This window comes from Homo sapiens, chromosome 2, assembly GCF_000001405.40.
Source record: "Homo sapiens chromosome 2, GRCh38.p14 Primary Assembly".
Taxonomy (NCBI): domain Eukaryota; kingdom Metazoa; phylum Chordata; class Mammalia; order Primates; family Hominidae; genus Homo; species Homo sapiens.
Window position 1 is genome coordinate 89,282,175 of NC_000002.12, and position 24,253 is coordinate 89,306,427.

Sequence of the window (24,253 nt, forward strand, 5' to 3'; positions counted from 1 at the left end):
AATCAGTTCCTCTCATCATGATTACTGGAAAGAATGCAGGCCAAAATTCTTCACCACCTTCTTCTTTTTTTTTTTTTTTGAGATGGAGTCTCACTCTGTCGCCCAGGCTGGAGTGCAGTGGCACAATCTCGGCTCACTGCAAGCTCCGCCTCCCGAGTTCACGCCATTCTCCTGCCTCAGCCTCCTGAGTAGCTGGGACTACAGGCGCCCGCCACCTCGCCCGGCTAATTTTTTGTATTTTAAGTAGAGACGGGGTTTCACCGTGTTAGCCAGGATGGTCTCGATCTCCTGACCTCGTGATCCACCCGCCTCAGCCTCCCAAAGTGCTGGGATTACAAGCATAAGTCACCGCGCCCGGCCCCACCTTCTTCTTTTTATAAGGGATGAAAATTCTTCCCAGAATCTCTGCTCATCCCTCACTCCCTGACATCTTATTGTGGAACCAAACTCATGTCCCCCTAATTTCTGTTCCTGTCCTGGGCTGAGAGAAACTTTCTGTCCTCCCCATGCACAGCAGGACAGAGTTGGTGCCCAAGAAACCAAAGGAGGAAGATGGCTGCTAGGCAGGAGGCCAAAGCCTCGACACATTTAAATTTCACCTTGTGTCTAAGCCAACCTGGATGAAGCAGAAAGATCCCAACATTCTCTGAATCTGGTGGGGTTGGAACAAGCCAGGCCTTGAGGATGACAATGAAGTCAAATTTCTAATTTTCCACATGACAATGTTAGCTTCAGCAGTTGAGGAAATGTAGCCTGGGAATTTAAGGCCGGGACATACTTCCAAGTACTGGAATAAATGAGGGAGAGATCTGCAATAGGGACATGGGGGAGCAGTGGCTATGGAAGAAGGAGGAAAGCTGTGTGCTAAGGTTGGTGGTGCCACCTGCCCACCTGAGTGCAGCCCTCCCTGTGCTGGTTGCATCCCCATTTCAGTCTCATGCAGACCCCTCTGTTTACATGACTCCAGGTGCTATTTCTGCTCCCATCCACCCTGTGGCTTTCTGTCATGAGTACATATCTTCTTACACTTGAACCCTCTGGTATTCATGATATCAACAGCAATGTGATAACACCTAACAGAATGCAGACATTCCCTTTGCATATAGCAGCATGCTCACCTCTACCCAAAAGGTGAAAAAACTCAAATCTGTTCAGTCCAACACCATCTAGGAAAAACTGACCTTCCCTCATGAGTCACAAGTCAATCTGGATATCATTTAATCTGTGGTATGAATTATATAGGTGACCAAAACAGCACTTTGTATTAAAAGAATTTTAATAAAGGGACAGTTGAGAAAAAAATATTTAACATATGTAAATGTGTGCGTGACTCATTCAGATTTCATGAGTTGGTTTTCTCTGTATTCTTTTTATCCCCTGGCCTCCAGCACGATCTTTATGGTCGTTTCTGGTGAGGCTAACCTTCATGTCTCTGGCATTCAGGGTCCCAGATGTGATTAAGGCTCTGCACATGAGATATGCCCCTGCAGAGTGGTTTTCAGAAGTTAATAAGGGAAGGGGAGATGCCTTCCAGAGGGGCTCATTCTCCTGGTCTGGGTCCTGGCCAGGCAGCACTGTCCTGTGGGCACAGCATCCTGCCTCACAAGTTTCCTGTCACAATCAGAGGATTTTTCTGCATAGAAACGCAGGAAGAAACAGGGAAGTGAAATGAATGCCTGAGCCCACTCCTCTGCTCTTTCCATCTGGCTTAGTTCACCTAATCCATGACAATAAACGCGAGTTTGCTTCACCAGCCATAATGGCTTCTCTTGTATCTGACTGCTTCGATGACAGAAGAAGGAAGAAGGAATGAGTGGACTGGCTCCTGTACTTCTCTACTATGAAGCTGACCTAGAGGCTGTAGCTGGTGTTCACATCTCCTAAGTTCACTGTGCGTTTCATCTCCCCTCTGCTGCACTAGTGTCTAAGTACATGTGATGCTTCAGCTGTGTTACTTAAAGCTTCACTCTGGAGTCTGTAGAAGTTTCTCTTCACTTTTACCAGTGGAAATGGTGGTAAATGGAAACATTCCCAGCTGGGCACAATGGCTCATGCCTGTAATCCCAGCACTTTGGGAAGCCAAGCCAGGTGGATCACCTGAGGTCAGGAGTTTGAGGCCAGCCCGGGCAACATGGTAAAACCCTGTCTCTACTAAAAATACAAAAAAAAAAAATTAGCCAGACGTGGTGGCAGGTGCCTGTAACCCTAATCCCAGCTACTCAGGAGGCTGAGGCAGGAGAATTGCTTGAACCCGGGAGGTGGAGGTTTCAGTGAGCTGAGATCGTGCCATTGCACTCCAGTCTGGACAACAAATGTGAAACTCTGTCTAAAAAAAAAAAAAAAAAAAATCCTGAATTTCCTCTGGGTTCCACATATTCTCTACTTCCTCTCTAAAATATGTAGAAGGAAACCTATACCTATGACTCCAGCCCACACCATGAGACCCTTTATTGACAGTTTATCTTACATCATAATGAGAACTAAATGGCCGCATGTTCATTGTTTCTTCCAATTTATTAATGATTTATCATGCTAACCCATTGGATCAAGAACTGTCAACCAGAAAACCCCGGACCTGAGTGAACAGAAAGAGAACTTTTCAATCTGCTCTGTAGGCATAATAAATAGTGATGGGCTCACCCCCCATGTCTCAGATACCACTATTCTCTTGATGGGAGTAACAATACCATACACCTTGGTGTTTTGGGGCCTCCGCCACATCTGGCAAGACAGTGATTTGACATTACAAGGGTTTGTGTGCTCACTTCACCTGCCTAGTAATGGGGTTTCTCCTGTCTGTAGGGATAGCTGCCTCTGTACACATGACAGCATCATGAACCTACTTTGCCTTACTTTTTTTTGCTATAATAAAGTTACTTTTTCCAATGATAAATTATGTAAGGGTTTCTTGACTTGAAAGCACTTGAAAAACTTTCAAGTAATTATTCTAGCAGAAACATGGCTGATAAGAAAGGCAAATGTACATATAGGAAAATAACCACCCCCGCCCCAATGTGTTGGGTTAGGTCCAATGTACTCACCTGATACCAGCTGTTAGTCTGATCTCAGATGTGTAGTACAATGTTAGGGTTTCAGGAAGGGTCATGGTTTTTGGCAAGTCAGATACTCAGACGTGCCATTAGCCTTGTGAGCCTCATCAAATGAAATTCAGATGCATAAATCTCCATGGCTTAGGTTCATGAGACTCCCTGGGAAAGGTGACTGACTGAAGTCCATGTGTTGGATCACCTTAATTATTAAGAGTTCCCTGCTAGGCAATGGCATTTAGATGAGTATTCACTTGGGTAGCATTTATTTTTGATCTTGGCCCATTTTGAAAGATCCAGTCACAGCTCTTCTAAACCAATTTTGTCCTTAAGTTTTGTTTCTTCTGAGACCTAATGACCTGTGCAAATTAATAATCAATGTCATTGCATTACCAGCCTCTCTTTGCAAAGTAGCCAATGATATACCCTTGTAGTTAACCCACTATTGTGATTTCTAGTCTTCCAGGGCATCCTTGACGATGGCAGGGGTGTGGCTTTGGTCCAGCACCCAATTTAGAACTCTGCCCAGCAGGCATCACTGTGAAATTTTAACATTTTGCCTAATTTTAACATTAGGCAAAATTACCTTTCTTCATATCCTTTACCCCTCCACTAAAAGATATTTTCAGGTGCACATACCCATTTGGTGAGTGTTAGAAATAAAGATTACAAAGGAAATCCCTGTAGCCAGAGCAGGTAACATATATAGTCCTGGACATCAGTTTTTTTCATGGGAGTAACTGGAATTATCTTAACAGATTTAATTTATACAATAATTTCATACGTATGCATGTGTTGCTTATATATATATATATAAACATATTTAAATAATCTTATCTACACATGAATATGTGTACTTAGTATTTATAGCTAACAAGTTATCAAATAAATATATATGGATTAATATGTATGTTATATACACTCAAATATGTGCATTTTTCATAAATGACACAAATTTTACTGTTTTTATAGATATATGATGCAATATATTTGATACAGTGACAACATTTTTAAGTTTTATCTTAGTATCTTTAAAAACAGATCAATAAATATTTATATTTTTGCATCAGAGAACCCCATCTCTAGTATCTGCTTCATGAATAACATATGCCAGGCTTTCAAAGGCTATAGTTTAGATTCTAATTCACTCAGTTAAAACAATTCCTGCTTGGAATGTGTGGCTTCCATTTTACTGTAAGAATTTCAATTACCCCATAACACAGACTCCTCAGGTAGACTAATCTCCTTTCTTTACTAAATTCGAAGAGACATTGCCATGAGAGGAAAGAGACTTAGGGTGGAGAGACACCTTCATGGCCCCCTCTTCCGTAATCTCCCAATAACCCTCAAAACTCAGGCTGAGTCTGAGAAGTGTTGTCACCAGATGGCTGCACAAAGAAGAGCAGGTGGGGCAGCCCAGCGTCACATGTCTGCTTTCCTGGGGGGGGTTTGTTATGGTTTGTAACACTGTGATAGGGTAATTTTTATACTGTTGACAGTAATAAGTTGCAACATCTTTAGGCTGCAGGATTCTGATGGTGAGAGTAAAATCTGTCCCAGATCCACTGCCACCGAACCGCGAAGGAGCCCCAGATTGCAAACTGGATGCAGCATAGATCAGGCCCTTAGGGGCCTTCCCTGGTTTCTGCTGATACCAGTCTAAATTACTACCAATGCTCTGACTCGCCCGGCAAGTGATGGTGACACTGTCTCCTTACAGATGCAGACAGTGTGGATGGAGACTGGGTGACTGGATGTCACTTCTGGTCCCTGAAATTGCAAACAGAAAAACAAATATCCACACAATTAATCATGTTATAAGAAGACTTCCCTGAATGGCCAGGCAGTACCTAGCACACTGGCTGAGTAAGAGGCTAGTAATTTCTTTTCTTAACTGGAAACCAGGATGGCAGAAGTCCCGGGAGCTGAATGAGGGTCTTCATGTCCATGCTGTGTCCAGACAAAAACTGACTCCTGCACGGGGTGTGACCAGCCAATTAATAAGTCTTCAGGAAGGGAGCTGTGCTCTGGGACATGCAAATCAGCAGAGGATGGGGAAGGCTGGGCACAGCTGCAAGGCTGGCTCATCTCAGTAACTCAGCACAGGGGCAGTGTCCCCAGGGTCCCAGATCAGAGCAGGGTAGCATCAACTTACCTGCAGATAATACATTTCTCTTTGGTGGCCATACTATTACAAAACGTATTTTTGGGACAATTTCCAAAATTTTAAACGAACCTAAGGACTACATTGAGTAATGCATTTTATAGTTGTATTGGCAGTATGTAGGAGACTATCCTTGTTTGCAGGGAATGCATAATAAAATCTTAGAAAGTAGAGCTCTTGGGTCTTCAAGTTACTGGCAAATGTATTTGGTGAGTGTAAAAATATTTTGTGTTGTGTTAACAATATTTCTGTCAGTGAGGAATTGTCTTTTTTAAAATGAAAATAAGACTTTATCAGAAGCATTTTTAACAATATTCAAAAATAGTTTGTCATAACTTTAAGCCATTGTTGTTACTGGTATAAGGACAAGGAATTGACTGCAGTTTCACAAAGATAATACCATGATTTCTCATGCATGTACCACGCACAGACCCTCCATTTTCCAGAGCTATCGGTCACTTTAATACCCAAGGATTAAATGGATAGCACCTTATTCTTGCCTTGGGGAGAATATTCTACCACCTTTTCTGTCACTGTGTAATATTTCTTACAGATCATCGCATAAAGGGCTGGCTAGTGATGCCAGATCTGATTAGTTCAACAAGATTCTCTGTTTCTTCATTGAACTATAGGAGCCTTGATTAGGATAAACTTGAAACCCTGTATCAATCCAGACTCTTATAATCAAATGTGTCCAAAGTAGGAAGACAAAGATCATATCCCCTGGGTAATGCTCCAAGCTGTGCTCCCTACCAGCATGTTCCTAGTGTCTCAGGTGCAGCTCCCCCGAAGCCTGGCTTTCTGAAGGGCAGGTGAAGGGGAGGACCTGGGGAAAGACAAAGTCAGTGAACTCTCTCTTCTGGTGGGGGTGGCTGCTGCTCGGTACATGTCCTTGCCTTGAACCATCAATGTCATTTGCTTCTTTTACTCTTTTGCAGTGAGTGGGGACATCACCCTGACCCAGATGTCAGCCTCACTGTCTCACAGCCAGGACACAGGGTCTCCATCCCTGGCCAAGTCATTGCTGATGTATACAGAGATATATCTGAAAATGGATAAAACTTGGAAACAAATTTGAACCTCTGTACCTCATACCTCTGCCTATGCTGAGGGCATCCCAACCTGATTCAGCAGCAGGGGAATTGGAACCAACTACATCAGCATCAGTGGGCTGGAGCCCGGGTACTCCAGGCAGTATTACTCATTCATGATCACGCATGGTCCCACCACAGTGGTGCAGTCTGTGCACAAACCTTCTGCTGCTTTTCCGGGGGCTTGGATTTCAAGAGAACTGGCCAGTAAACAGCCTACTAATATCCAGGTTCAAGACATAGGGCTCTAGATTGAAATACACATCTTTTTTTTCTGAATGTAGCCGTCTCTCTTGCTACCCTTGGCCTTTCCCCTTCACTGTACTTCTGCTGACTCCATGGTCATGCTGCTGTCTCTGAGCTGGGCAGACTCCATGGTCATGCTGCTGCTCTCTCTGAGATGGGCAGACTCCATGGTCATGCTGCTGCTCTTTCTGAGCTGGGGAAGGCAGCTCTGCCTGCATGCATGCCAGACCACAGTGTCTGGAATAGCATCCCCTAGGACAGCCCTCAATCGGTAAGGACAGGGGAGGTGTATACATACATGTGGCCATGTGGAAGGAACATATATAAGTTCTGACAGACCTGGGTTCCAATCTCAGTCCCTACTTCTGCTGACCATGTGACTTTGGGAAATCACCCCTGCACTCTGATGGGCAGTTTTCTTACCTGTAAAATGAAGTACTGTGGATATCAAGCAGTGTCTTGAGGGCTTCACCAGATCATGACCCATGAAGAGAGAAAGAGAGAGAGAGAGAGTACCCGGTGTCCATTTCATGCATCCTTGACTGTCTTAGAATGAAGACGTTATGTAAGATATTACTAGTCAGATGTCACTTTCAACTAAAAATTATCAATATTTATTCTAACTAATAGATCTCTCTCTCTCTATACAGTGAAGTTTCACGTAAATGTTTTCCCACCATATCCTTTCCCATCAATCTATTTATGTGTAGCAGTAGAAAGTTGAACAAGAAGACTGAAAACCACCAGAGCACGTTTCATCTGCACTTTCCCTGCACTTCATTCTTATTAGTGTCCTTGGGCTGCTGTAACACAGTTCCAAAAATCTGATGGCTTAAAACAGTTTACTCTCTCATACTTTTGTAGGCCAGAAATCTAGAATCAGTATCTCTGGGCCAAGATCATGGCCTTGGCGGCCAGGCTCCTTCAGAGGCTCCAGGAGGGAGTCTATTCTTGTCTCCCCCAGCTCCTAATGGCTGCATCTTTCCTTGACTGTGGCCATACCCCTCCAGTCTTTGTCTCTGTGGCCACATTGCCTTCTCTTCTGTCTGTGTTAAATCTCAATCTATCTCACTCTTAGGAGGATACTTGTGATTGCATTTAGGGTCCACTTGGTCAATCCAGGATAATCTCCCTGTTTCTAGATTCTTAATTTATACCTGCAAAGGTCTTTTTCCCATACCAGTTACATTAATTGGCTCCATGGAAAAGAACCTGATAATGTGGGGGTGATACTCAGTGCTAAACCATTACAGGACCCAGTTTCAGTGTCGGTACTGTACACACGTTACATTCTCTCTCTATGTCTTTCGCTCACTCTCTCCCCCTTCTTCCCTCCCTTTCTTATGATCACAAATCATTCCACTTCCCTAAGTGTATCCACTGCCACCTAGGTTCAGAGTTCAGAGAGGAACACACAGGAAGGTCTTGCTCGGGTTTGCATAGAGATCTGCCCAGTCCCCGCTATCATGTACAAGAAAGGACATAGCCACAGACAGCCCTCAGCCATCTGGGAAGAAGCTGTCTCTACAGAGGACAGTCATGAGCTATGACTCTCTCGACCTCTTATTGTCTTCAGAGGCTTTTGGCCCTCATGGAGGGTGTGGGTGGCCCCTGACTACAGGATTTGGTCTTCATGGAGGGTGTAGGTGGCCCCTGGCTACAGGATTCACCAGGACTTTCATCAGAATATCTGATTCACAGAAGGCAGTCAGTGATAGGGCCACACAGAGGGACTCTGCAGGGCCGGCTGCACAGAGCACTCTGGAACAGCCTGCCTCCTCATATTTCTTCCTGAACACACATATTTGGATCTCCTAATACCATTTTGCTAGTCCATTACTTGCTCTGAAGGTAATAGGTAGGATTAACTAAGACAGAATTTTTAATAGTTACAAATCAGAAGAAAAAAAGTAATTTTTTAAATTGCTAAGCTGATAAAGAAGAAGATAACATGACGGCAAAAAACAAAAACTCTAGACTGAGGGCTTTGGGTAAGAGCTTGAGACTCTCAGTAGTGGAGCACCTGGGCCATCGCCTTTCAGAAGAGAGGGACAATCAGGAAAGAAAGCGTGCAGTAGAGGCAAAAATCTTGCTTACTCAGACAAAGCCTCAGAAGAAAGGAGACACCTTCTTCCTGAGCACCAGCAATCAGAGAAATTCTCAATAAAAATAAATCATAATGAAAAATAAATAAATAATAATGAAAAAATCGAGAATAGTTATAAGCGCTGCATGCACTGCTCATTGCACCAAGTGCCTTGTAATGAACGAAGTGCAGACAATAATCATAGACCCCAAATGTGTCCCAAACCTGACCACTCCCCCGACTTCTACCCCACCACTCCACCCCAATGCAAACCTCCATTATCTTCCACCTGCAAGATAATCCCTCAAATATTACCCAACTTCTTCTTTGCTCCTTGTTCCTTGATAAGTGGTCCCCACTCTCAGGGTCCTAAGGCTGTGGCCACAGGTCTGAGTTCTAAGGTCTTTCTTCTCACACCCACAGCCTTTCTCACTCTGGCCTCCTCCATTTTGAGAATCCAGACCCAATGTCCTGCCACCCTCCCTGGAATCAGGCACTAATTGCCAGTAGCTTTTCTTTGTAAACCCTCCAAATGCAACCTCTAACAGGAACCTGGCTGGAGCAGTCAGCATCTTCCTGTTACGGGCAGTTAGACAGGCATGAGATGGGCAGGAGAGGTCTCTTTCCCCACCCACTAGGAATGTGGGGTGATGGTTCAGCAATGATCACATTGCCTCTCTAAAAGTGATAAGTTGGCAGCTGGCACTAGAGGGAGGCCATTTCCTGATGGTCCACACCTTTTGCACTAAGGTGTTAATTGAATGCAAGCACCAGGGAAATGCAACTTCCCAGGCATGTTAAAATAAATAATACAATAAATATAAATACAAAAATAAAAATAAAATGTTTATATTTATAAATAAATTTATATTTTGTATTCACATTTATACTTTATGTATATTTATATATTTGTATATTTATATGTATGTATTCATATTTATATTTATGTATAAATATAATTTATATATACATAAATTTATATTTATACATAAATATAAATACAAAACAGTGAAGTATGACCTTCCAGGGGCACACCACCAGAAAAGGGAAGGAAGCCTCAGATAGGCATGTGTACAACTTTCTGAACACACTGAGCATGCTCACCTCCCAAGGGTAAGAAGGGCACTGCGCATGCGGGCAGCCCACCCTAAGAGAAGAATCATGGGAAAGAGACCTGCCTATAAAGTACTAGAATCAAGGTTAAACACCGGACTTCTTCTTCAAGTCGCCCACTTTGGTCTCTTTCAAGTGTACTTTCCTTTCTCCCCTGTTCTAAAGCTTTTCAATAAACTTTCACTTCTGCTCTGAAATTTACCTTGGTCTCTTTTTCTCCCTTATGCCCCTCAGTCGCATTCTTTCTTCTGAGGAGGCAAGAATTGAGGTTGCCGCAGGCCAAGGATTGAGGTTGCTGCAGACTCATACGGATTTGCCACTAGCAACTAGAATATCTTTAACCAGTAACATTCCCAGCAAAAAGTGCTAAGAAGAAAGAGAAACCTGCAAACACACTTTGTTGTTAATGAAATGCATAAAATCCCCTGTTTCTATGTCTTCTCCAACTATTTTTGTTTCTTAACCACAATTATATATGTATGATCTTGGAGCAGGGAGGAATTAAGAACAGGCATTTATTTCATGCTTAGGATATAAAAAGAGGAATGGAGAGGGAAAGACAGCAGAATTTATAAGTTCTTCAAAGTGATTTGAGTTTTTCTAGCCATGGGCATAGAATGACCAAGATCTCAGGGGAGCACTGCACTTACAATTCCTGCCCTTCACGCCTCAGACTCCCATGAACACACACACACATAAAAATGCCTGTCTTCTCCTAAAGAGCAAATTTAAGGCTCTGTTTCTTCCCTTGAGTACCTTTTCTCATAAATGAAATAAAATAAATGAAAGTAACTTTAGAAGCAATGGAAAGAAACAATAGCAAAAGCTTAAGCAAAGATCAGAAGTCTGAAGGTTGGAGTATTAGGGTTGGTGCAGCAGCTTGGGGGCAGCATGAGGAAACCAGGTTCACCTTCCCCACATTGGATTTTCAGTCTTGGACTCAAGTCCTCATGATCTCCAGAGGACTGCAACAGCTCTAAGCTAAGGACATTAGTGTCATATCCACTAAAAACTCTTCCAGGAAAAAATGTGGGGCAAAATTCTTCACCTTCCTTCTATTTATGAGGAATCAAATTCTCCCCAGAAGCCCTGCCCACCTACTCCCCTACCATCTCATGGTGGAGGTGACCACACATGCTCTTAATCCTCACTCCAGCCCTAAATTGAGAGAGGTTCACTGTCCTCACCAGGCATGGCAGAAAGGAGCTGGTGCCCTCTACACCAAAGGAGAAGGGGGATGGCTGCTCAGAGAGTGTCAAGAGCTTGGCAACATTTAAACCTCACTATGCTTCTAAATTAAGTTGTGTGGGGAGGAGAGATCTCAAGAGCCTCTTGGTCTGGTGGAGTTGGAACAAGCCAGGCCCTGAGGATGACAGTGAAGTCAAATTTTTAATATTCTAGATGGCAATGTTAGCTTCAGCAGTTTTGGAAATGTGGCTTATGCAATTAAGATCAGGACAGACTTTCAGGTACTGGAATAAAAGAGAAGAGATTAGAAATAAAGTCCTCAAACCAGGGCTAAGGTCAGGCCTGCACTGACCGAGAGCTGCTGGGCTCTGGCCCTGGGCTGTGAAAGAAACAGCTGCTTTCTTGAACTATGAGGCTGAGGACCTGGGAGGAACCACAGGCCCTGTCCATGGGGCTGCCTGGCAAAGGATTCAAGAAAGAAAGCTGCTCACACACTCATGGGCGCGGCACCAAGCCCGAGCCTGGGGCCATGGTGAAAGCCTCAGAAACCAGGACCTTAGAGCTGGGCCTGGGCTCCTGGAGTAGGCTGCTCTCAGCTCTGTTCTCATTGTATATAAGCAGTCAGGACCTTCTTGGAAGCAAAGGGAGAGGGTGAGCAAATGTCCCCAGGGCTCTTGCTGAGCCAGATTCTGTTCTGATGACAAAGAAATAGAGCACATGCTCAACAAATAATATATGCATACATATTATGTAAACTTTATTAAATACATATAATATTTTGAATATTAATTATATATTGAGATAGATGTATACGCTATGTTTCTACATTTCACATTAAAATAATATGTACAATTGTATAGAAATTGATATACTTTTGTTGAAATTGTATCACCTGGCCCTGCAGGTGACAGAAAGATAAACAAACTATAACTTCATTATCAAGGAAATGTTCATGTTTAATACAAACTATCTGAAGCCGAAGTCTGAGTTCTTCTTCCTCATCAGAGAGTCAGAAAAGCAGGAGGAAGAGGGGCAAAGCTGGGCACCCATGTCCATGAGGGCCTCCTGAGGCTGATCCTGCTCAGAGAGGGTGGGGACAGTGGATGGGCCTTCTTGCACTGCTACACCAAAATACCCTGGGCTGGGTAGATTAAACCAGAGAAATTTATTCTCATAGTTCACAAGCCTGGAAAGTCCAAGATCAAGTTCCAGCAAGGTTCACTTTCTGGTTAGAACCTTCTTCCTAGTTTACAGGTAGTCACCTTCTCACCATGTCTTCTCATGGCCTTTCCATAGGGAAGCAGTGAGTTAGAGAAATAAAGGAAAAGAGAAGAGTTCTCTGGTTTCTGTCCTTATAAGGACACTAATCCTATTGGATCAGAGCCCCACCCTTATGACTTCATTTAACCGTAATTACCCCTTTATAACCCCAATTATCTCCTACATCCACATAGGGGAATAGGGCCAGGCTTCCAGTCTCAGAGCACAGATGGCTTTTTCCCACCATTCAGCACAGTGGCAGCTCCTCCCAGGTGCCCCAGGTAACATGTGGGACATTATTCTAGCCTTATGGGGTCCCTGTTAACAATGGGACACTATCACTCTTGCTTTTCTAGTATTTCTAAGATAATGGTACTCTCTTTTTTGTGGGGTTTGTTTGCAATCTAGAGGCAGGTTTGACATAGCAACTTACAGGATTTTTAAATTTTGTGATAGTAAAAATAAATAAATAAATAAATTTATCATAAATAATAAATTGACTTAATACATTGAATCTGTAAAAAAAAGATAAGGCCAATTGAAAAGCTTAAAAAGAGTCTGAGGGGTTTAAAAAGGCAAATTCCTTTCAATGAGAGTTAGAGAACGGATGACCGATTTTTTTTAATAGATGACGTTTCAGCAGTAATTATCAAATGGTAAACAACAACTTGAAAAAAGGTCTCACAAATATAATTTCATAGTCAAAAAACATTTCTGAGAATCATATAAATACATATTCAGATTAAAACAGACAGAAAAATGTGACCTTATCGGTAGATCTACTCAATGGAAAATTCCTCAAATATGTGCTTGAGGCAAAAGGAATATTTATCATTGATGGAAGTTCAAGTTTTCTAATAAACTCCAACATCCTTAGTCTCCGTCCTACTGACTTTCAGTGTAAACTCAGTACCTGACCCATTACCCCTGAACCTGTCTGAGAATTCGGAGGCTTGGTTGGAAACCTCATAAATCAGGAGCTGTGGAGACTGGCCTGGCTTCTGCAGGTACCAATACAAATAGGTGTTTCCATTATTATACAGGAGGCTCTAACTAGACCTGCAGGAGACAAAGGCTGGCTTTCCATTATGAACAACTTTCATGATTTCTTTTATGATATTGATTTATAGTTACATTTTTCAAGTTTTGATTCATGTCATGAAAGTAGACTTTCTAAAATAAACCCATTATTTACCAGCCAGAAGGGAACTCTTTTTTTTTTTCAAGATCTTAATCAGAGTACTGTTTATTGTTCCCTGGAGGTGAACCTTGATTATTCATAAGACAAAAATATGAATTCTTTTCCCTGGGCATAGACCATGTGACTCTATCATGTTGGAATAAATGATACTGCTCTGATGAGTAGAGGACACCAGGTTCTTTGTCTCGAGTCAAATTAGAAAAAATGACACTGACACACTTAGAATAGTTTTAAGGAGCAGGGAGTTTAATAGGCAAGAAAGAAGGGGGAAGAAAGAAGGATGAAGCTCCCCTGTACAAAGACAGAGGGAGGGGGGCTCCAAAGCCGAGGGACGAACCACTCTTTCAGGTAATATCAGCCAGCTATATTTGATGTCTGGAGGAGGCGGTGTCTGATTTGCACAGGGCTCAGGGTATTGGTTTGACCAGACATGTCATTCACGGTAGCCCTCGAAAGAACTGGCCCTCCCACCCTAGCCTTTTAATATGCAAATACAGGGCGCCATGATGTTCCACACACGTGGGGATATGTAGGGGCAACCATGCTGCCAGGCGCATGTTGGGGCAAGGGCAAGAGGACAACGGTGGAAATCACCATGTTGGGTGCATGTTGGATGGACCCAGTTTCTAACGGCTTGCATTTGCATATAAAAGGTTGCCTGCCCGGGGCTAAGACCCAGGGCTTTTATGCTAGACAACAGCTGTGAAAAGTCTCCCAAGGATCCCTTTTTTCCTCTCTATCTGCCTAAAATAATTTCTTAATAACTCCTACCTCATAAACACGTGAAGCTGTGGAGCCCACAGACTCACCTCCCACCCAGTTCTCCTTGCCCTGGCACATACATCCAGCTTCTGTGAAGAACTGGATGTGGCTAGAGACTTGGGGTCCCACGGACAAGAGTTGAGATGCAACACGGCAAGCTTTGAATAGGGGGCTGGTCAATTGTAAGCAGATGCCATAGAAAATCAGGAAGGTCCTCCAGGCAGAGCATCAACAGCCCCGAACATGGGCTTCCCAGACATGTCTGAGGACCACATGATTGGCAATTATAGCTTCTGCACCAGATGCTCTCTGGATTCTTGGGGAGATCCAGAGAATCGTTTTCTAATTATTTGCATCTTTGAGTACCATGCTCCCAAGCCTCCCAGAGGCTGTAGTTTAGACTCTCATTGCGTGTATTTAGAAAAAAAAAAATAGACTTGGAATTCCAAGAGTAGGTTTTCCTTTGTGGTATTGATTCCAACTCACACCATAGCCAAGACTCAGGTGTAATCATCTCTTTTCTTAATGAAATCAGGAACAGTATTGCCATGTTTGTGCTGCAGGGGATGAGAAGGAAAAACAGTTAAGGTATAGAGGAGTTGTAATCGCCCAAGGGGTTCACCTTGCCTGCTGCTTAGACAGAGTCGATTTATCAAGACACGGCAATAGCAGTAGTGAAAGAGTAATTCACACAGAGCTGGCTGTGTAATATCTTCCACCGTCATAATTTTCTCAGTTATGATTTTTGCAAAGGCAGTTTCAGAGTCTTCATGGCCCCTTCCATCAAAACTTTTCAGTGACTTTCAAAGCTTGACTGGAATATGAGAAACCCTCTGAGCAGCTGGAGGCAGTAGGAGGAGTATCTGGGGCAGGCCAGCCCCATACATCTGCTTCCTTGGGGGGTTTATGTTATGCCTTGTAACACTGTGGGAGGGGCATTGTAAGTCCGTTGACCGTAATAAGTTGCAACATCTTCAGGCTGCAGGCTGCTGATAGTGAGAGTGAAATCTGTCCCAGATCCACTGCCACTGAACCGAGATGGGACTCCAGATTGCAAATTGGATGCACTATAGATCAGGAGCTTAGGAACTTTCCCTGGTTTCTGCCGATACCAATTTAAATAACTGCTAATGCCCTGACTCACCCGGCAAGTGATGGTGACTCTGTCTCCTACAGATGCAGACAGGGAGGATGGAGACTGGGTCAACTGGATGTCACATCTGGCACCTGAGATTGGAAATATAAAAACAAACATCCATTCAATCCATCATGTTATAAGAAGACCTCCCTGAAGAGCCAGGCTATACTGAGCGCACCAGCTGAGTAAATTCCTAGTGTTCTCCTTCCTTACCTGGGACCCAGAGCAGTAGGAGCCCCAGGAGCTGAGCGGGGACCCTCATGTCCATGCTGTGTCCTGACTGGGACTGACTGCTGCACGGGGTGTGACCAGCCTGTTAAGAAGACTTCAGGGCAGGGGGCTGTGCTCTGGGAACATGCAAATCAGCAGGGGTTGGGGCAGGCTGGGCACAGCTGCGGGGCTGGCTCATCTCTGAGCCAGTCCCTCGTGTCCCCAGTGTCCCAAGTCAGAGGAGGGTAGCACAGATTTGTCTGTAAGAACATGTTTCCTCTTGGGGCCGTTTTGTAACAAAGAACTTTTTTTTTTAATAATTGTTAATATTTGAAATACTCTTGAGTACTCGATGAAGTAATGTTTTCTATTTGTATATGGGGATTAATTAAGGTTTTTTTTTTTTGAGACAGAGTCTCGTTCTGTCACCTAGGCTGGAGTGCAGTGGCACGATCTCACCTCACTGCAACCTCCACCTGCCAGGTACCATCGATTTCTCCTGCCTCAGCCTCCAGGGTAGGTGGGACTACAGGTACGCACCACCATGCCAGGCTAATTTTGTATTTTTAGTAGTAGAAATGGGGTTTCACCATGTTGGCCAAGCTGGTCTCAAACTCCTAACCTCAGGTGACCCCCTCGCCTCAGCCTCCCAAAGTGCTGGGATTACAGGCATGAGCCACCACGTCCAGCCAGGGGAATATTTTTATTTGTAGGAAACTCAGTAAAGTTTTAGAGGGTGGGAACATCAAGTCTTGAATATACTCTGCAAAGGAGAGGGTACTTTGTTCTATACTTATAACATTTCTGTGAGAGTGAAATGGTTCCTTCTTAAAAAAAAGAGACAATTTTACAAGATAATGCTAAATATATTTGAAAGTATTTTGTAATGACCTTAAGCCATTCTTACATGACTGTATGGTCACGCAATTCACTACAGATGCATAAAAATGAAACCACAAGTCCTCAAGGCCGGTATCACTCACAGATTCACCATTATTTAAACCTGTAAGCCACCTCAATACCCAGAGATTATATAAGCTGCATCTTATTTTTGGTTTGGTGATCTCTATATTTTACCCTCTCTTCTGCCATTGAGTATTATTTCCCCGGGGTTCTCAGCATGAAGAGCTGACTAGTGATGCCAGATCTGATTGACTTAAATAACTAGTTTCTTCCTGCATTTATCAGAGTCTGGATTAGGATAAACTTGAAATTATCCAGGGTTCAGTTGTCTCCACAAGTAGGAAGACCAAGATTGCATCCCCTGAGTAATGCTGAACTCCCCACCAGCATGTTCCTGGGTGCTCAGGTACAGCTCCTCTGAATCCTGGATTTCTGGAGAGCAGGTGATGGAGAGACTTTGGAAAAGATCAGGACAGTAAGTCCTCCCTACCAGTGAGGGCAGCTGCTGCTCAGTGCATGTCCCTGCCTTGCACTATGAATGCCACTTTCCTCTTTTACTTTTTAGCAGTGAGTGGGAACATCATTCTGATCCACATACCAGCCTCCTGTCTCACATCCAGAACAGAGTCTCCACCTCTTATCAAGCAAATTTCCATACATATGGAGAAATTAATTGGATCCTAATAAAACTGGTAATGGATTTGCACCCAATCATATCTCACATCTCTAACAGGGCCCAAGACATCTCAGCCTGCTTCAGCAGCAGCATTCAACTACATCAGTGTCTGTGGGCTGTAGCCTGGGTTCTGGAAAGTATTACTCATGCCTGACTAGGAGTGGTCAAATCACTGTGGTGTAAGCTCTGCACACACCCTCCTTCTGTCTATTCAGGGACCTGAATGTTAAGGGAACTTGCTTTTGTAGAGGGAAAAGGGGAAAGAGAAAAGCAAACCTTCTAAAGGTTTGCTGAAAATGAATAAACAAAAGACAAATTAATAGGAAAAAAAGGCAGACAAATGTATTTAACATGCGGGGTGGGGGTGTGGGGATAACACACGAGAGGGATTACCCAAATAACCCAGTGAGGTCCAGGTGCTTCTACATCCTTTATAGGGGAGAGGGAAGTAGAGAGTATAGGCAACTAAGGGAGAGTAAATAACCTAAAATAAAAGAAAAGGGTCCTGAAAAGGATAGGTAGTAGCCTGTCTGGATAAAGTCAACATCCAATCTTTTCTGGATTTAACTTCTAGTGCATGTTAATATTCCCTGGTAGATAAACATTCCCAGGGAGGGTTTTCATGACAATTGGCTTCCTTCTGGAGAAACTGCCCTTAGACAGGTAAGGGAGATTTAGGAAAAGCCCCTTTATATATTTGTTGTTTTCTAAACACCTTCAGTTTGAAGCAATCACAATACCAATGTAGCATATCTTGAGATGTTACTTCCCAGATTCCTTCATTTGCAACTGACCTGCCAGGAAACACCATTCCAGAAGGTTGCAGCTCCAGGTGGAAAGTACAGGTGCTTTTTTCTAAACGGTTGGAGCAGTCCCTGTCTGCACTGAGGACTTTCCCTTTCACCGTACTTCTGCTGATTCCCCATGGCCATCTCTGCCCTCTCTGAGAAAGGCAGCTCCGCCTACACGCATGGCAGACCACAGGGCTTGGAATGAGTCTTTCCTCAGACAGTGCTATGGTTTCACTGTATCCCCTCAATTTCATCCACTGTTAATTTAATCCATAATGCAACAGAATTGAGAGGTGGGGCCTAATGAGAAGTGTTTAAATACTGAAGGTTCTGCCCTTATGAATAGATTAATGCTACTATAAAAAGGGCTTTTATTATGGAACCAAACTGGATTCAGCTTGCTCAGTGCAGTAAAACCAGTTATCCAAACTGAGTTTGCAGTAGGAGAAAAAAGTCATTTATTTGCAGGACGTCAAGCAAAGAGGACCAGACAGCTAATGCTTAAATCTTGATCTCTCTAATGGCTTACAAATAATGGCTTTTAAAAGCCCAGGTAAGTTTCAGGGAATCAAAAGTTACAGGCAAAATTGTAAATCAATACATGGAGGTTACACATTGGCTTTGGCCTAAGAGGGCAGGATATCATGAAGCAGCAGAATATCTTACAGGTCATGAGTAGATTGAAAAATTTTCTGATGTGCAATTGATTAAGGAAGAAAAGCTTTGTTTAAAAATTGGGGTCAGCACAAAGGAATGTTGGCTCTGGCCTGTGGGTGTGACTTTCTCCAGGCCCCTCAGGTGGAAATTCAGAACAAAGAACCATGGTCAAATTTCAGTCCCCTGTTTCCCCTTATGTGAAGTCTATGTGCTGGCAGATCCATTTGTTGGAGATCTGGGTTTCTGAAAAACAACTCAGAGACATATGCTGAGATGTTCTCTTTAGTTTCTGTAGAGGAATAAAACATACTGTGATTTTTAGCTTCTTTGACTATTGTTTTAGTCTATTATCGTCTCCTTGCTTCTCATGTTGCTTGTTTACTTCTCAAGGCTTAGCTGGACACCTAACATTTCCCTTGAAAAGACCCAAGATTTTCCTTTATTTCCATGTCTGGGGAAGCTTCAAAGACCCCTAAGAAGGGGTCAGATCCCTGAACTATCTCAATTATGAGAGCGAGCTCCCAGTCTCTCACTTCTGCTATTGTCAGGCCAGGGCATGGCCTTCCTTCTCTCTGAAGGACTCAGCATTCAAATTCCATCTTGAAAGCACAGAAATTGGATCCCAAGCTGCTAGTTACTCAATCTTTGACTTCCCATCCTCCAGAAATGTGACAGAATGTTCTTTACTGATTACCCAGTCTCAGGTATTCTGTTATAGCAGCACAAAACAGACTTAGACAGACAGCCCTCAATTGGTGATGACAGAAGGACATGTATACATACCCCAGCTCCCTCCCCTCTCAGCTAGAATAGCCCAGGGACATTTTCCCCGTGTTTCCAAATGGGGTTGAGCTTCAGTTATCCTAAGAGTTAGGTGGCTTGTTGAGGTGACTTTAACCTTCAACCTCTGTTCTCTGCCTCACTTTCCTCCTTCCCTCCCATTGTAAATATGCTGCATGCATAGAAATACTTCTTGTAGGTGGACACAACCCAACACAGTGGACAAATCCCAGTTCTTGGGAGGGCTACATCTCTTGTCTCTCCTTTTTTTTTGAGACTGAGTCTTGTTTTGTTGCCCAGGCTGGAGTGCAATGGCACAATCTTGGCTCATTGCAACCTTTGGCTCCCAGGTTCAAGTGGTTCTCCTGCCTCAGCCTCCCAAGTAGCTGGGATCACAGGTGCCTGCTATCACGCCCGGCTAATTTTTGTATTTTTAGTAGTGATGGGGTTTCACCATGTTGGCCAGGCTGGTCTCGAACCCCTGACCTTAGGTGAACTGCCTGTCTCAGCTTCCCAAAGTGCTAGGATCACAGGCGTGACCCACTGCACCTGGCCTCTTGTCTTAATTCTTATTATTTCTCCTTTTTTGATGCATACAAAAATCAGAAAACACTAAATTGCTTTTTGCCCATCTATCTTAAATTTGATTTATGCAGTAATCCCTTTCTTCTGACTCACAAAATAAAAGAAGCTTCTTAAAATAGCAGCACACAGGCCGAGTGAGGTAGCTCACGCCTGTAATCCCAGCACTTTGTGAGGCCGAGGTGGGTGGATCACCTGAGGTCGGGAGTTTGAGACCAGCCAGGCAAACATGGTGAAACCCCGTCTCTACTAAAAAACAAAGATTAGCGGGGAATGGTGGCAGGCACCTGTAATCCTAGCTACTCGGGAGGCTGAGGCACGAGAATTGCTTGGACCCGGGAGGCGGAGGTTTCAGTGAGCCAAGATCGCACCACTGCACTCCAGCCTGGGAAACAGAGAGAGAGACTTTGTCTCAGTAAAAAAAAAAAAATAGCAGCACACCATGAGGTCCACATTAGAGGCAGTGGAATAACTAACCCCTACTCTTAAAACCCACAGGTCAGAGAGTCTCCAAATCACAAATTATTTCCTGCTTCCTTGCTTCATAAAACAGCCTTGTGAATTTTCATTTGACTTTAGGGGTGGGCAGTTGTGGGAATAATGGGAGTTGTTTTGGGGATAAATAAGGACCCCCCACCCTAATTATATTTATGTCCTAATATTTGGAATCTATGAATGTTACCTTATATGTCAAGAGGAACTCGGCAGATGTGATTCAGTTAAGAAATTTGACATGAGGAGAGTATCCTAGATTGCCTGTCTCAAACCAGTGTAATCACAAGGTCCTTATAATAGAAAATACAGGAGGGTCACAATCAGAGAGGAGCCCGGACAATGGAGGGGAATGCTGTTGTGGCAGAATGGGGCCAAGAAGCAAGGAATCTGAGAGATCTTGAAGATGAAAACTTAGTATCCAATTCTCTTCCTTGGAGCCTCCAGAAATAATACAGCCCTGCTCACTCTTTGATTTTAGTTCAGTGAGACTTCTGACTTTCAGAACTGTAAGATAATACATTTGTGTTGTATGAAGCCAGTGAGGTCATACTAATTTGTTCCAACAGCAATAGGATATTAATGCAAGAGGAAGAGATGGCTTTTATCTCCTCAGTGCATGGCTGTTCTTGTTCTCCCAAATATCTTCACCTTGTAATAATTTCCCGTCAATTTTGAAAAGACAGAGAACATATTATTTTGAGAGGAGGTAGCACCAGAATTCCTCTAAGGCAGAAAATGTCTTGGGTCAGATCCCTTGATTGGCTCTGGAACAATCTGGGTATCTGAGAGCCTAGAGATCAGCTGTCATAGCACGTGAGAGGAGGGGAGATTGTTTTTTGGTTTGTTTTTATATTAGGAGGGCAAATTAGACTTGCAGAACACATTCTGAGAGGGACAGACTGAGCCAGGGAAATTCGAAGAGAAAGAGGAGATGTAGAAGGGGCCAGAGAAAAGAAAGATGTGTCCTTCCTCACAAGTCCAAAATAAAGTCATTTGCAACTCACAAAGACATTGACAGAGTTGTGTTTTCTAGGGAAAACTGCAGATGGGGCTAGTTTACGATTAAGGTCAGCATGGTGTAAGACAGAGAGAGCAGGAAGCTGTGGAGTCCACACTGTCCCTACGGTGTCTTCTCCCTTATTATAGACTGTGGGCTCAACTATGGGATGAAAGTGGCTGCATGAAAGAAATATAATAAAGCCACACAGACTTGGGTTCAAATTCCAGCCCACATGTGCTGATCATGTGATTTTGCATAAACCATCCATGAGCTCTGATCATTGGTTTCTTCATCTGTGAAATGGAACACTGTGTATATCAAGGGGTCTCCTGAGGACTTAATCAGATGATGGGCCTTGAAGTATGTGTGTGTGTGTGTGTAAATATATATATATATATATATATATATATATGATCAATTGTCATCCTGTTTATCTTTCTAATATATATATATCCAGTCCTCTTTTTATGTACCCTTGACCATGCTGGAATAAAAAGGCTATGTAAGATATTACTAGCCAGACATCACTTTCAATTCAAATTCTTCAATATTTATTCTACAACAAGCAAGTGCATCACTAAGGGCAGTGGGGTTTCATGTGCATAGCTTCCACTGTAAACAATTCTACCTACTCTTTATGTGTGGTATTAGAAAGACAAACAAGATGACAATTGATCATAACACTTTTAGTCTGAGTTGTCTCTGAGCTGCATTTGTGTTAGTGTCTCATTCTTTGGCTCCTAAGGTTGTGACCACAGTTCTGAGTTCTAATTCTTTTCTTCCCACATGCACAGCCTTTCTCAGAATTCACTCTGGCCTCCCCATGCTGGGAATCCAGACTCACCCTCCTGCTACACTCCCCAGAATCCAGCACTAACTGCCTGGAAGCTTTTCTTTGTAAGCCCTCCAAACGCAACCTCTGATAGATACCTGGTTGGAGGAGTTAGCATCTTCCCATCAAAAACCACTGAGAAGAAGGAGAAAACTGCTAGCATGATGTTGCTGTTGAGGAGATGTGTACAGTCCACAGATTTTATGTCTTCTTCAAGTGTTCTTGTCTCTTTCTTGACCACTATTTTAATTTCATGATCATAAAGGAGGGAGGAATTAGGGACAACAAAAAGATGTTCATCCTTAAGATATAAAACATGAAACTGAGACAGGAAGAGAGCAGAAATTATGAACTCTTTGCAGTGGTTTGGGTTTCCTTAGCTATAAATACAGCAGAGCCAAGATGTCAGGAAAGGACATCACTTATTCTGGTTCTTGCTTTTACTGCCTTTGACACCCACAAACACACACATACACACGCATGATAATGCATTTCTTCTCCTAAGGGGCAGGTCTATGGCCAACGAGGCTCTTTTTCTTCAGTATCATTTAAGGATAAGCGACAATAATTTTAGAAACAAGTGAAAGAATAACAATGGCTTAAGCAATGAGAAGAGATCTGAAGTTTGGCACATTCAGGGTTAATACAGCAGCTTGGTGACAGGAGAAAGGCCCCAGATTCTTTCTACATTACTGCTTGGTAAACTTGACCACATTGGTTTTTCTGTCTTGGGCTCAACATCTCATGGTCTCAAGAAGGCTGCAGAGACTGTAAGCTTCATGTCCTCTGGTAACTGCCCAAAGAGGAAATGAAGGGCAAAGCTCTTCATCACCCCTCTTTTTATGAGAGATCACCATTTTCTCCAGAAGTCCTGCCCCTCCTTCACACCCATGACATCTCATTGTGGAGCTGATCACATGTCCACCTAAACCTTGCTCCTTTCCTGGGCTGGGAGCGGCTCAGTGTCGTTGTCATGCACAGCAGGACAGAGACAGTGCCCTATACACTGAAAGAGGAGAGGGTGGCTGCTCTGTAGGTGACAAAATTTTAAATTCCACTGTGCTTTTAAGGAAAGTTGTATGAGGAGGAGAAAAGCTAGGCGCATCTTCATACTGCAACATTCGAAGAAGCCGGGCCCTGAGGATGAAAACGAAGTCAAATTTTAAATTTCTCACATGACCTTGTTAGTTTCAGCAATTGTGGAAATGTAGCCTATGCATTTATGTAAGTCAAGGACATACTTTCAGTTACCAGAATACTTGTAGAGACATTTATAATAAGATCCTTAAATCAGGGCTAAGGTCAGACTTGCACTGTCTGAAAGCTGCTGGGCTCTGGCCCTGGGCTGTGGAGGAAGCAGCTGCTCTACTGAGACAAGGGGCTGAGGACCTGGGAACCAAAGGCGCTGCCCACAGGTCTGCCTCACAGGGGCTTCAGGGAAGGAAATTGCTCACACACTCATGGGCACTGCTTCAAGCCCAGAGCCTGCCACCAGGAGGAAAGTCTCAGAGACAAGGGCCTTGGGGCTGGGCCCAAGCTCCTGGGGTGGGCTGCTCTCAGCTCTGTTCTCACTGGCTCTCAATGACCAGGACTGTGCTGGAGCCAAAGAGGTCAGCAAATGTCCGCAGAGTCCTGACTGAGCCTGATTCTGTTATAGTTAGAAAAAAAAAGGAGCACGTGCTAAATAAACATAAAATTATGTGTATATGTATATATGCGTTTGTAACAAACTTTGTATATTAAATATGTATAATATTATAGATGTAAATTGCAGTGATATCTTTGTATCTACTATGCATCTATATTACGAATAAATATTGTGAAAGGAAAATATCTTGGGCTCCCCAAATCACTAAGCTAAAGGGAAAATTCTAGCTGGGAACTGAATAGGGCAAATCTGCCTCCCATTGTTTTCAAAGTCAGCCCTCTGGTCCCTGAGATAAATGCATATCTAATTACCTGTTCTGGAAAGGCTAATCAGAAACTTAAAGGAAGGCAAGTTTTTCTCTCACCTACCTGGGACTTGAAAGC

The 24,253-nt window shown here is 43.4% G+C and overlaps 2 pseudogenes, 1 gene segment (V, D, J or C) and 1 further gene, besides 4 other annotated features; 1 reads left to right on the forward strand and 3 right to left on the reverse strand.

Annotated features, from left to right (window-relative positions):
- The window catches only part of IGK (immunoglobulin kappa locus), a 1,378,008-nt gene that overhangs the window by 424,814 nt on the left and 928,941 nt on the right, over nucleotides 1-24,253 (forward strand).
- On the reverse strand, nucleotides 4,522-4,996 carry IGKV1-35 (immunoglobulin kappa variable 1-35 (pseudogene); annotated as a pseudogene). The gene is given in 2 exon segments: nucleotides 4,522-4,817; nucleotides 4,942-4,996. Coding segments are annotated over 2 exon segments (351 nt in total).
- Nucleotides 4,807-4,817: a sequence feature (IGKV1-35 leader sequence).
- Nucleotides 4,942-4,996: a sequence feature (IGKV1-35 leader sequence).
- Nucleotides 13,050-13,283, reverse strand: IGKV2-36 (immunoglobulin kappa variable 2-36 (pseudogene); annotated as a pseudogene). The gene is given in 1 exon segment: nucleotides 13,050-13,283. A coding segment is annotated over 1 exon segment (234 nt).
- On the reverse strand, nucleotides 15,090-15,564 carry IGKV1-37 (immunoglobulin kappa variable 1-37 (non-functional)). The segment is given in 2 exon segments: nucleotides 15,090-15,385; nucleotides 15,510-15,564. Coding segments are annotated over 2 exon segments (351 nt in total), but the record flags the coding sequence as incomplete, so codon positions are not given.
- Nucleotides 15,375-15,385: a sequence feature (IGKV1-37 leader sequence).
- Nucleotides 15,510-15,564: a sequence feature (IGKV1-37 leader sequence).